The following is a 12,276-nucleotide window of genomic DNA, read 5'->3' as shown; positions in this document are numbered from 1 at the left end:
CTCAGCTTCTAGAGGCCATACCCATTTCTTGGCACCTGGAAACCTTTGTCTTCAAAGCCAGCAGTGGCGAGTCCAGTTCTTCTCAGGCCTCATTTCTCCTGCCTCTTCTTCCATCCTTGCATCTCCCTGACCCATTCTTCTGTCTTCCTCTTCCACTTGTGATTTTTTTTTTTTCTTTTTTTTGAGACAAAGTCTCACTCTGTCACCCAGGCTGGATTGTAGTGGTGTGATCTTGGCTCACTGCAACCTCCACCTCCCAGGTTCAAGCGATGCTCCTGCCTCAGCCTCCTGAGTAGCTGGAATTACAGGTGTGTGCCACCACACCCGGCTAATTTTTGTATTTTTAGTAGAGGTGGGGTTTCACCATGTTGGCCAGGCTGGTCTCAAACCCCTGACCTCAAATGATCCACCCGCCTTGGCCGCCCAAAGTGCTGGGATTATAGCCGTGAGCCACCGTGCCTGGCCCCACTTGTGATTTTAAGGATTGTGATTAGGGGCCCACCCAATGAATCCAGGAGAATCCCTCCATCTCAATGTCTGTAACAGTAATCACATCTGCAAAGTCTCTTTTGTCATGAAAGGTAACATACTCACAGGTTCTGGGGGTTAAGGTGTGGACATCTTTGGTGAGGGCCATTATTCTGCTTACCACGACTGGTTTGGACAATTACACAGACAGCATGTGCTCCAGCCCACTGTCTACTTCTCTACTTGCATGTCTCATGGGCATTTTGAATTTAACATGTCCAAAACAGAACTTTGAATTCCTCCCCACCAAAACTCTGTCCCTCCTCAGTCTTCCTCACATCAGCAAATGGCAAGATCATCTACCTGTTCTCAAGTCAAAAGGCAAAAACCAGCCAGGCTCGGTGGCTCACATCTGTAATCCCAGCACTTTGGGAGGCCGAGGCAGGCCTTGATCACTTGAGCTCAGGAGTTCGAGACCAGCCTGGGCAACATGGTGAAATCCCATGTCCACAAAAAATACAAAAATTAGCTGGGCGTGGTGGTGCATGCCTATAATCCCAGCTACTTGGGAGGCTGAGGTGGGAGGATTGCTTGAACCTGGGAGGCGGAAGTTGCAGTGAGCCGAGATTGCGCCACTGCGCCACTGCACTCCAGCCTGGGGGAGCAGAGTGATATCCTGTCTCAGAAAAACAAAAACCAAAAACCTAGGTGCCACCCTTGACTCCTTTCTTTAACTCCCTATATTCAATCCTTCAGCAAATCATGCTGAGTCCACCTTCAAAATACATCTTGAACTCATTCATTCCTCTCCATCTTTATTGCCACCATTCTAGTCCAAGCCATCCTTTCTTGCTTGGACTTCCGAAATCGCTTCTTAACTGGTCTTCTCACTCACAGCCTTGCTTCCCTCCAATCCATTCTCCACACAGCAACTGAGTAATCTTATAAAAATCAAAGTCAGATTATATCGCTTTTCTGCTTAAAAACCTTCAATGCCTCCCCACAGCATTTAGAATAAAATTTAACTTCTTGTTCTGGCCCACATGGCCACATAAGACCTGGCTGTCTCTCTCCAATCTCATCTCATCCCACTCTCTCACCACACTCTGGCTACCCTCGCCTCCTTTCTGTTCACCAAGGCTTTCCCACTGCCACACTTCTGTGCTTGTTCTTCCCTCTGCCAGGAATGCTCTTCTCCCTCGTTCTTTCTCTCCTTTCTTTCTTTCTCTTCTTTCCAGGAATGCTCTTCTCCCTCGTTCTTTCTCTCCTTTCTTTCTCTTCTTTCTTTCTTTCTTTCTTTCTTTCCTTCCTTTCTTTCTTTCTTTCTTTCTTTCTTTCTTTCTTTCTTTCTTTCTTTCTTTCTTTCTTTCTTCCTTTTTCTTTCTTTCTTTCTTTCTTTCTTTCTTTCTTTCTTTCTTTCTTTCTTTCTCTTTTCCTTTCTTTCCTTTTTTTTCTTTCTTTCCTTTCTTTCCTTTCTTTCTCTCTCTCTCTTTCTTTCCTTTCTGTCCTTTCTTTCTTTTTTTTGACGGAGTCTCGCTCTGTCACCCAGGCTGGAGTGCAGTGGTGCAATCTCGGCTCACTGCAACCTCCGCCTCCCGGGTTCAAGGGATTCTCCTGCCTCAGCCTCCTGAGTAGCTGGGATTACAGGTGTGTGCTACCAGGCCCAGCTAATTTTTGCGTTTTTAGTAGAGACGGGGTTTCACCATGTTGGCCAGGCTGGTGTCAAATTTCTGACCAAGTGATCCGCCTGCCTTGGCCTCCCAAAGTGCTGGGATTACAGGCGTGAGCCACCGCGCCCAGCCCTTCTTTTTTTCTTTTTTTTTTTAGGGCAAGTCAAGTGAAGCAGTGGGAGTGGGAAGGAACAAAGAAATCTGTAGCTGATTGTGGTCAATTACTTGTAAACACCACTGCACTTTGACCAGCCCTCCCTGGTTCTTTGCATAGTTGGCTCATTCTCATCCTTCTGGTCTCATCTCAAATGTCACCTGTCAGAGTGGCCTTCTCTGGCTCCCTGATTTAAAATATTCCCCTGTGACTTCAGCCGGGGAGACAGAGGTTGCAGTAAGCTGAAATCGCGCCACTGCACTCCAGCCTAGGCGACAGAGCGAGACCTTGTCTCAAAACAAAAACCAAAAATAAAATATTCCCCTTACCTCCACATAATTCTCTAATAAAGCACCCTCTATATAAGCACCTTCATAACATCACAGTCCATGATTACCTAAATTATTTATTAGTTTACTTGTTTATTGACTGCCACTCTCACTAGAGTGTAAGCTCCTTGAAGGCAAGGACCTTATCTGCCTTTTGTGCCACTGTGTCTGTAGTGCCTAGCAGTTATTGAATAAATGCACAAAGCCACTTTTCTTGCTCTGACCCACTTTTGCTTGCTTCCATCTCTGTGATGCTGCAATGCCCTGCCTTTAACCTGCAATGCCTTCCTATTCGTGACCAATACATATCCCTTAACTTCTTTCAAAACTTAGTTCAAGACTCATGGCTGGGTGCGGTGGGTCATGCCTGTAATCCCAGCACTTTGGGAGGCTGAGGCAGGTGGATCACCTGAGGTCACGAGTTCAAGACCAGCCTGGCCAACATGGTGAAACCCCGTCTCTACCAAGAAAATACAAACATTAGCTGGGCATGGTGGCAGGCGCCTGTAGTCCCAGCCACTCAGGAGGCTGAGGCACGAGAATCACTTGAACCAGGAGGTGGAGGTTGCAGTAAGCCAAGATTGCATCTCTGCACTCCAGGCTGGGCAACAGAACGAGACTCTGTTTCAAAAAAAAAAAAAAAAAAAGACTCACAACCTCCCCAAATCCCTGTTGATCACTAGTCTCTCTCCCATGTGATGATCCCTTTAGTTTTTTATTCACTAAGTTTGTATAGAGCTTCTTGGCAATCTTATGAACAGTTCATACTACATTATCATGCCTTTGCTTGTATTTGCTTTGTAATCATAGTCATTTCATATATGTAGGTATGATTTGTTCCTCAAGACCATAAATTCCTCCTGAGTCAACATTGCATCACACATCTTTATAATCCTTCTCAAGTACTTAGTCCAGTGTGGTGCTCACTGTCAGCCATAAAGCAGAAAGGCAGAACTCTCTCTTCATAATCCAAAGAAAATGAAATTAGCTGGAAGTTTATTTTAGAAACAGAACAAGAGTTTTAGAGTTCTTCTGAAATTAGAAAAATCAGGCGTATTATTTTCCCCACTTAATTTAATGAAGAAAAAATCAAAACTGCAGCTCAGAAAACATTTCTGTGCATGACAACTGCAAGAGTTTAGCTATCTATTTAATAATACTTGTGGAAGGGCAGGGTGTGGTGGCTCACACCTGTAATCCCAGCACTTTGGGAGGCAGAGGTGGGCAGATCACCTAAGGTCAGGAGTTCGAGACCAGCCTGGCCAACATGGTGAAACCCTGTCTCTACTACAAATACAAAAATTAGCCAGGCATGGTGGCAGGCGCCTGTAATCCCAGCTACTCGGGAGGCTGAAGCTGGAGAACTGCTCGAACCCGGGAGGAGGTTCCAGTGAGCTGAGATCACGCCATTGGACTCCAGCCTGGGTGACAATTTTTTTTTTCAAATTAAAAAAAAAATTACTTGTGGAAGAATACACAAGATATTATCATGAAATAATGTGAGGTTAGGATTTTATAGTTAAAAAAGTAAAAAATATTTTTGCAGCTTTCAGAACTGTTTGAAAAGTTGTCTGTTTCAAGGAAAATAAAGAGTAATAAACATGAACTATTCACTTTGGGTAAAGAATCTGCCACCCTCCAAACTCTAACAGATTGAGCTACAGATGAGATTTCCATGTGTGTGTGTGTTAACTGCCATTCTCCATAAAACAGAATGCCGCAGCAGTTGGAAAAGTGAATTATTTTGGTATACTTAAATAGGATAAGGCTTTGAGAGTTTACAGATTTGGCCAATATGTATTTAACCATAGTTTTATAACTCAGACTAGCAATAAATGACCAACACATCATTTTTTCTTTGGAAAATAAATTTAATCGGAAAAAATACTTGCAACATACCGAAAATCTCTCTCTATGTATGAGTGTATGTGTGTGTATAAATTAACAATTTTATGTTAGATATTAATGCATTTTTAAATGCATAGATAGGTGCTATTTGACAAGTATAGTTATATAAACTTTACATAGAATCTCTAAAGTGGAACAATCCTGAGATTTGATTTTTAGAAAGTTTGATACAGATGATTAGGTTAAAGTGTTTATAGTCAGTTACATTTTTTTGAGTATGTGTGTCAAATGTTCCATTTGATCCTTTCTAGGCAACTGGGACATCTTTGAGAATAACTTGACTAAATAACTTATTTTCAGAGTAGGCTTGCAAAGCAAGTTAAAAAGGCAGAGAATTTAGGCCACTGAACTGTACATGACTTCAATCAGAAGGTCTTTGGGGGGATAATTAAGCAGTCATGGTATAAACTGTCTTTCTGAAACACAAGATTTTAAGCCTGGGATGCTTCAAATTTCAAAAAAGAAGGATGATTCTACTACAATGGTGATAGCTTTTAAATGTTCGCTATTTTCATTTAGATTCTGATAAGGCATAATTTACACTGTGGTGTGTGCACTCAGATGTCAGCAAAAATTTGAGTTCAAAAAAGATTGTACTGGGGCAGGGTGCAGCGGCTCACACCTCTAATCCTAGCGCTTTGGGAGGCCAAGGCAGGAGGATTGCATGAGCCCAGGAGTTCAAGACCAGCCTGGGCAACATAGCAAGACCTCCCCAAAAAATTAGCTAGGTGTGGTGGTGTGCACCTATGGTCCCAACTCTCTGGAGGCTGAAGCAGGAGGATGTCTTGAGCCCAGTAGTTAAAGGCTGCAGTGAGCTATGATTGTGTCATTGTACTCCAGTCTGGGTGACAGAGCAAGACCCTGTCTCTAAAAACAAAACAAAACAACAGATTGTATTGGAAAGTCTCAGGTCAAACTGAGTGAAACTAGGCTGACGTTGGTTTGTGCAAGCTTTGCATTGACTACAAGTGACCCAGTGGCTGACCTCACAACGTGGTATCCACTCAGCCACTTCAATTACCTGTTGCTTTGAGATGTCATGGCAATGCCCTTTCTTTGGTGTCATGTTTCTATTCAGAGCGTAAATTGTACATTTTATCACTGCTAGACTCTGGTTATAAAATCTCGTGGAATGCCATCATGATACACTCTTGTTGGGAAACCTTCTCATAGTGCAGGTGTTCACAGGGACATCAGTTTGGAGATCTGAGGTGGTGCATGGCCAAACCATCTCATTTCCCAGAGCAGCAGATAGCAGTAGCTTCTCATCCCTCCTCAGGTGCACAGTTATGAGGCTACATTTATCTGTGATTGCAACATGCTGTCAGTCAGTGCACTTCTAGTTCCATTCCATTTTATAGAGTTGGTTTTTTAGGCTTCGGTTTTCTCGTTTTGAAGAACTTCTTTAATTCTCGTAATTCCTGGGGCTGCAAACTCTGATCGACTCCTGGGGTCAATTTATAGCTCAGTGGAGACAGAATGTAACCATTTTGATAAAGACAGATTCTCTTGCAGAACTCAAAGGTGCTAAACATAATTCCAAAATATGGAACTATCTGTTAAAACCAAAAATGAAAATCAAGTTAAGTTCTTAAAAAGAAAACATCAATGTGTCTGCAGTCAACTTGGATCAGGGTAAATTATCTTGTAAAGTGAGATAATGGCGGTGGCAATACAAATGGTAACTCTTTTTGGAATCAGGAAAGATGGCAAAAGGAAAGCTGGCTCAGTGTGGGTTGGGAGAGGAATGACAGTGATTGAAGGGCATGACCTGCCTGGGAGGCACTAGATCTGGGTCATATGCACGCAGACTATCTGATACTACCTGTCACTATATGCTGGCCTTGACTGGAATCATTTACATGCCAGCTAGTGCAAGGTTAGTCCAGAGTGCTTAATGTTTTTTGTTTTTGTTTTTTTTTTTTTTTGTCATGGAGTTCTTTGGGAATATGATGCACATATGCATATACACATACATTTTTGCATAGAATTTTAGGATGAGGGGTTAGGTTCCCATTAGGGGCCCATGAACCTCCACATTAAGTATCTCTGCACTAAATGCTCAGCTCCTCTGGAATGGGGTATAAGATACTCCACCACTGCACAGGTTCCCCTCTCTACGGGGCTGACAGACAGTGTGCATTCATGGGCCTTGTGCTACCCATTAGTGCTAGAGGGGGTTTTCCAAGCAAACTGTAGTAGGGGTTGGGGGTGACAAAGGAAGAGGGTAGAATTGGAAGAGGCAGGGGAGCAGCGGAGGCTGGTGGCTCTTCTCACCTTCAGTAAATTGGCTGTCAATCCATTCCAGAGCCCCAGGACCCCCTGGGCCTTCACTATCTGCCGGAAGCAGTCCACTGCTCCTGAGAAATGGACATCTACTCCTCCACTGTGTGGGAGGTAGGGGCTCTGAGCCTGACAGGAAACAGAAGCTGGGATGAGGTGATTGAAACATTAGGAAATAAATGTCCTAGTGGAAGGAGCCAGGGTCTCAAGTCTACATTCTGGATGCTGGGTTCCTGGCCAAGATGATGGCAAAGAATGGCTGCTGTGGGGTTCTTCTTGTTCTGTGGGCTTAGAACAGATATTAACGTGCAATACAATCATGATACCCTGTCCATATATTTGTCGTTTATTTTGCCTGGAAGGAAGCAGACATTTGGGACAGATTCAATTTCATACTTACATTCCCTCCCAACCTGTGCCTTCTGGACATGATAAACATAATCCCATGCCCTTAGCCTTTTTAAAGTATTCTGTTTCCTTGTCTTTACTGGTCCTTCCCCTGTGAAGCTCCCAAGCGGAGGCTGTTCATTTCTCCACCTCACAGATGTGACAGGGTAGGGAGCATTGTGATGGTGGCATTCTTCTCGCTCTCTGTTGCTGTTCCCAAACCCTTCCTCCTTCACTCTCACGACAGAAGCACTTAGCTGGGGCTGATGTCACTGAACCATACTCCTTGGCCTGCTATTATCTACTAATCTGGCCACTCTTCCACGTTCATTGAAGACTGTGATACCTGGTGGCTCACCCTCTCCTAGCCTCGCCGTCATCTTAGGTAACTTTGGCATCTATAAAGACGACCCAGCCCATGACCAGTTTCTGGCCTTCGGCTTCAGTGATCCTCACCTTTATACCATTTTGGCCACCCCGTGGACATCATCACCACCTTCAGAGCCATCCTGACGGAACCCTATTATTACCAAAATGCTCCATCTCTGAAAGGAACGTTTTCTCCTTTAATATTATTATTTTTTTTGCGACAGAGTCTCACACTCTGTTGCCCAGGCTGGTGTGCAGTGGCATGATCTCGGCTCACTGCAGCCTCCACCTCCCGGGTTCAAGCGATTCTCCTGTCACAGCCTCCTGAGTATCTAGGACTACAGGTGCACACCACCACACCTGGCTAATTTTTATATTTTTAGTAGAGATGGGGTTTCACGATGTTGGCCAGGCTGGTCTGAAACTCCTGGCCTCAAGTGATCCACCTGCCTTGGCCTCCCAAAGTGCTAGGATTACAGGCGTGAGCCACTGCACCCAGCCATCCTCTTAGAAAAATAATTTTACGATCAGATGAAATGACTTTTCAATATACCATCTACATATAAAACTGGTACTACCTGTCCACTGTGAAGGGGATGTCCCCTCAGAGCTGGCTTTCAGAAATGGTGTTGAGTTTAGATTAAGCTATACACATACTTTGGTTTGTTTCTGAAATGTTTAGTTGGGGCTATATGGCATTCTGTGGCAATGGAACCAAGATTATCGATGTGGGAGAGGAGGTGTGGTACAACAGTAAGAAGAGCACAACTCTGGAGTTGAGCAGGTTCGTTTCTAGTCCTAGTTTCTTCACTTACTTGGCCCTGTGACCCTAGGCAGCTTATCTAACCTTCAGAGCATTCACTGCCTTTTAATATTTGGAATAATTTACTTATTTATTTCCTTTATTTATCTGCTCCTTCTCTGCAACTAGAATTTCAGCTACATGTAAGGAGGGATTTTTTGATCTGTTTTATTGACTTCTGTATCCTTAGTATTCTTAACACATAGTAGATATTTAATAAACATTTGAATAAATGAAATGTATTCCATTGTCGACCTCCTGGTTTCCAAATCCAGTGGCTCTTTTTGGCTATATTATTACTGGATTTCTTAGGGGGCAATATTTGGCACTGATAACCAGGAACTCTTTTGGTCCTCCTCAATTTATATACCTTTTCTAGGAAATTCTACCATAGCTTTTGCTTTAAACACCTCCTACAGGCAGATGGCTCCCAAATCTTTATCTTTGGCTCTGACCTCCCACTGACCTCCAAAACCAAGCACCTAACTGCCTACTGGGCAGCTCTACCTGGATAGTACACAAGTACTCAAAACTCGACACACCTAGAATCTATCGTTGCCTTTCTTCTTGACAGTGTCAGATTTATTCTTTCTTCTGTATTTCTTATCTCAGTGATGAATGGCCCAAGTCTTTAACAAGCTACCCCAAGCCAGAAACCTGGAATTCCTTCATTTCGCCCACCCTTACTGCCCTATCCAAGCAATCCTCCTTTCCATCCCCACTGGCACTCCCATAATTCAGGCTACCACCATCTCATGTGTGCATTACTGTAGCAGTCTGTTACTGGCCTCTTGGACCCACTCTTGTCCTTTTCAATTCTTTTCTTTTCTTTTCTTTTCTTTCTTTTTTTGAGACAGAGTCTCGCTCTGTTACCCAGGCTGGAGTGCAATGGTGCAATAACGGCTCACTGCAGCCTCAACCTCCTGGGCTCAGGTGATCCTCCCACCTTAGCCTCCCTGGTAGCTGGGACTACTGGCATGTGCCACCATGCCCTGCTAATTTTTGTATTTTTTGTAGAGACAGGGTTTCCCTATGTTGCCCAGGCTGGTCTTGAATTTCTGGGCTCACGTGATCCTCCCACCTTGGCCTCCCATAGTGCTAGGATTACAGGTATAAGCCATTACACCCAGCCTCCAATTCATTCTTCTTCTTTTTTTTTTTTTTTTGAGACAGAGTCTCGCTCTGTTGCTCAGGTTGGAGTGCAGTCACACGATCTCGGCTCACTGCAACCTCTGCCTCCTGGGTTCAAGCAATTCTCCTGCCTCAGCCTCCCAAGTAGCTGGGATTACAGGTGCATGCCATCGCACCTGCCTAATTTTTGTATTTTTAGTAGAGATGGGGTTTCCCTGTGTTGGGCAGGCTGGTCTTGAACTCCTGACCTCAGGTGATCCACCTGCCTCGGCCTCCCAAAGTGCTGAGATTACAGGTATGAGCCACCGTGCCCGGCCTCATTCTTTATACTACAGCCAGAACGCATTTCTAAAATTCCAATTCAGACCACTGACTACTTTACTGACATTTTACCGCCTATAGGATAAAATCTAAGCTCCTTAGAATGACATGTAAGGCCCTTCATGACAACTTTTCCAACATGAAAAGCATCACTCACCCCAATCATACTGACTGCACTCCTTAGCTCTTTTTTATACTCCCATTATCTCCTCTAAAGACTATTCATTTATTTGCATATTTATTGATACTTACTATATGCCCGACACTCAGGATACATTAGTGAACCAAACAGACAAAAGTCCCTGTTCCTATAAAGCTGAAAGTCTAATTGCAGGGGAAGACAAGACAAAGAAAGAAAATAAATAAGTAAATTACACCAAATACTAAGAGGAGGTGAGTGCTCTGGATAAAATAAAAGCAGGGGGAACATAAGGAGTGTCTGGAGGATGCTGAAGTTTTTATTAGGGTAATCAGAGAAGACCTCACCAAGAAGATGGCTTTTTGGAGATCTGAAGGAAGTGAGGAAGCAAGTTGTACAGATATCTTCAAAGGCCCTGGGACAGGAGCATGTCCGGGGTGTTACAGAGGCAATGAGGAGGCCAATGTGGTGGTAATGGAATGAACAAAATAGAGAGTAATGGGATATGACTTCACAAAAGTAAATGGTGGCTAGGTTGTATAAGGCTGGTAGGGCACACAGTAAGAATTTTGGCTTTTACTGAGAAGACTGGTCACTGGGGGGGGTTATGAATAGAAGAATGGCATGACCTAATTTATATTTTCACATGATCACTGGCTGCTGTGTTGAAAAAGACTCAAGAATGGAGGGAAAAGTAGGATGGAGACTGGTTAGGAGATTACTAGAGTAATTTAGGCAAGAGATGACGGTAGCTTGGACTGGGATGCTAGTGGTGGAGTGGTGAGCAGTGATCAGACTCGATATATTCTGAAGGTAGAGTCAACAGGATTGGCTGATGGACTGGATGAGGGTGTGAGAGGAGAGTCAAGGATGGCTCTAAAGTTTCTGGCCTAAGTGACGGGATAGACAGAAGTGCCATGAACTGAGATGGAGGACGCTATGGGAGAAGCAGGTTGGCTTTTTGTTTTTGTTTTTTGAGGGTGGGTGAAAACATCAGGAGTTCAACTGCGCAATGCTTGTTAGCCATTCAAATGGAGATGGAGAGTTGGCTACATGAGTCTGGAGTTCAGGGGAGAGGTCAGGGCCGGAGACATAATTAGGGAGTGATCAGTACATGGGTGGTATTTAAAGCCAGGAGACCAGATGAGATCACTTAGGGCTTGAGCCTGGGGATACTTCCACATTAGACCCCACAAAGAAGACTGAGAAGGAGCAGTTGGTGAAGAAGGAAAAGGAAAGTGTGGTGTCCAGGAAGCCAAGTGAAGGTGGTATGTCAAGGAGGAGTGGTGAGCTGCTGAGGGCCCAGTAAGATGAAGACTGAGAAGTGACCATTGGATCTAAACACATGGAGGTCACTGGTTATCATAAAAAGAGAAGTTTTGGCTGGGTGCAGTGGCTCACATGTGCAATCCCAGCACTTTGGGAGGCCATAGGGGGAGGATTGCTTGAGCCCAGGAGTTCAAGACCAGCCTGGGCAACACAGTGGGACCCCTATCTCTGCAAAAAATATAAAAATTAGCTGGGTGTGGTGGTGCACACCTGTAGTCCCAGTTACTTGGGGGGGCTGAGGTGGGAGGGTTGCTTGAGCCCATGAGGTTGAGGCTGCAGTGAACCATGATTGTGCCACTGTACTCCAGCCTGGGCGATAGAGTGAGTCCATGTCTCAAAAAATAAAAGAGAAGTTTATTGGATGGTGGAGCAAAAGTCTGACTGGAATGGACTCAAGAGAGAATCGGGCTGGGCATGGTGGCTCACGCCTGTAATTCTAGCACTTTGGGAGGCCAAGGCAAGTGGATCACCTGAGGTCAGGAGTTAGAGACCAGCCTGGCCAACATGGCAAAACCCTGTCTCTGCTAAAAATACAAAAATGAGCTGGGCATGGTGGTGGGTGCCTGTAATCCCAGCTACTCAGGAAGCTGAGTCATGAGAATCACTTGAACCCGGGAGGTGGAGGTTGCAGTGAGCTGAGATCACGCCACTGCACTCCAGCCTGGGCAACAGAGTGAGACTCTGTCTCAAAAAAAAAGAGAATGGGAAGAGAAAGATTGGAGATGGTGAATATAGACAACTCTTTCAAAGAGGCCTCTTTCACAATTGTACTGTAATCATGTCCAATTTACATGTCTGTTTTTCCTAGTGTTCTGTGAACTCTGAGGACTGGGTCTTTTTAATTTCTGTATCTCTAGTGCCTTAAGCAGCAGCTGACACATGACTGGTGCTCAATGAATGGCTTGCTGAATGAGTACATAAAATGCCCAGTATAAGAGTGGGCTGGAATTTTTAAAGCATTTTCACATAATTTTATGCATGAGTTA

At 44.3% G+C, this 12,276-nt stretch overlaps 1 protein-coding gene and 1 pseudogene across 7 annotated transcripts in view, besides 1 other annotated feature; both read right to left on the bottom strand.

Moving 5' to 3' along the window:
• Nucleotides 2,290-2,584: a silencer, noted in NCBI's record as "tiled region #3305; HepG2 Repressive DNase matched - State 9:DNaseU". NCBI's record gives its function as "represses a minimal TATA promoter and a strong SV40 promoter by Sharpr-MPRA in HepG2 cells {active_cell/tissue: HepG2}" and the evidence as "EXISTENCE:reporter gene assay evidence [ECO:0000049][PMID:27701403]".
• Nucleotides 2,292-2,392, bottom strand: RNY3P16 (RNY3 pseudogene 16; annotated as a pseudogene).
• The window catches only part of SLC25A43 (solute carrier family 25 member 43), a 55,143-nt gene continuing 47,338 nt past the window's right edge, over nucleotides 4,472-12,276 (bottom strand). For 3 of the 7 annotated variants that reach the window (XR_001755662.2, XR_938547.2, XM_047441902.1), the window contains one exon: nucleotides 6,860-6,941. Coding sequence is in view for 2 of the 7 variants with exons in the window: in NM_145305.3 (NP_660348.2) it covers nucleotides 5,885-6,085; nucleotides 6,807-6,941 (336 nt within the window). In the remaining 5 variants the exon portion in view is untranslated. Of the gene's footprint in view, nucleotides 6,086-6,806; nucleotides 7,101-12,276 lie in introns of those variants that run through there. The other 4 variants (NM_145305.3, XR_938546.2, XR_938545.2 and 1 more) reach the window with 4 other exon arrangements.

This window comes from Homo sapiens, chromosome X (genome assembly GCF_000001405.40).
Source record: "Homo sapiens chromosome X, GRCh38.p14 Primary Assembly".
Lineage (NCBI taxonomy): Eukaryota > Metazoa > Chordata > Mammalia > Primates > Hominidae > Homo > Homo sapiens.
Note: the sequence above shows the minus strand (reverse complement) of the source record. Positions and strands in the feature narration are given on the sequence as shown.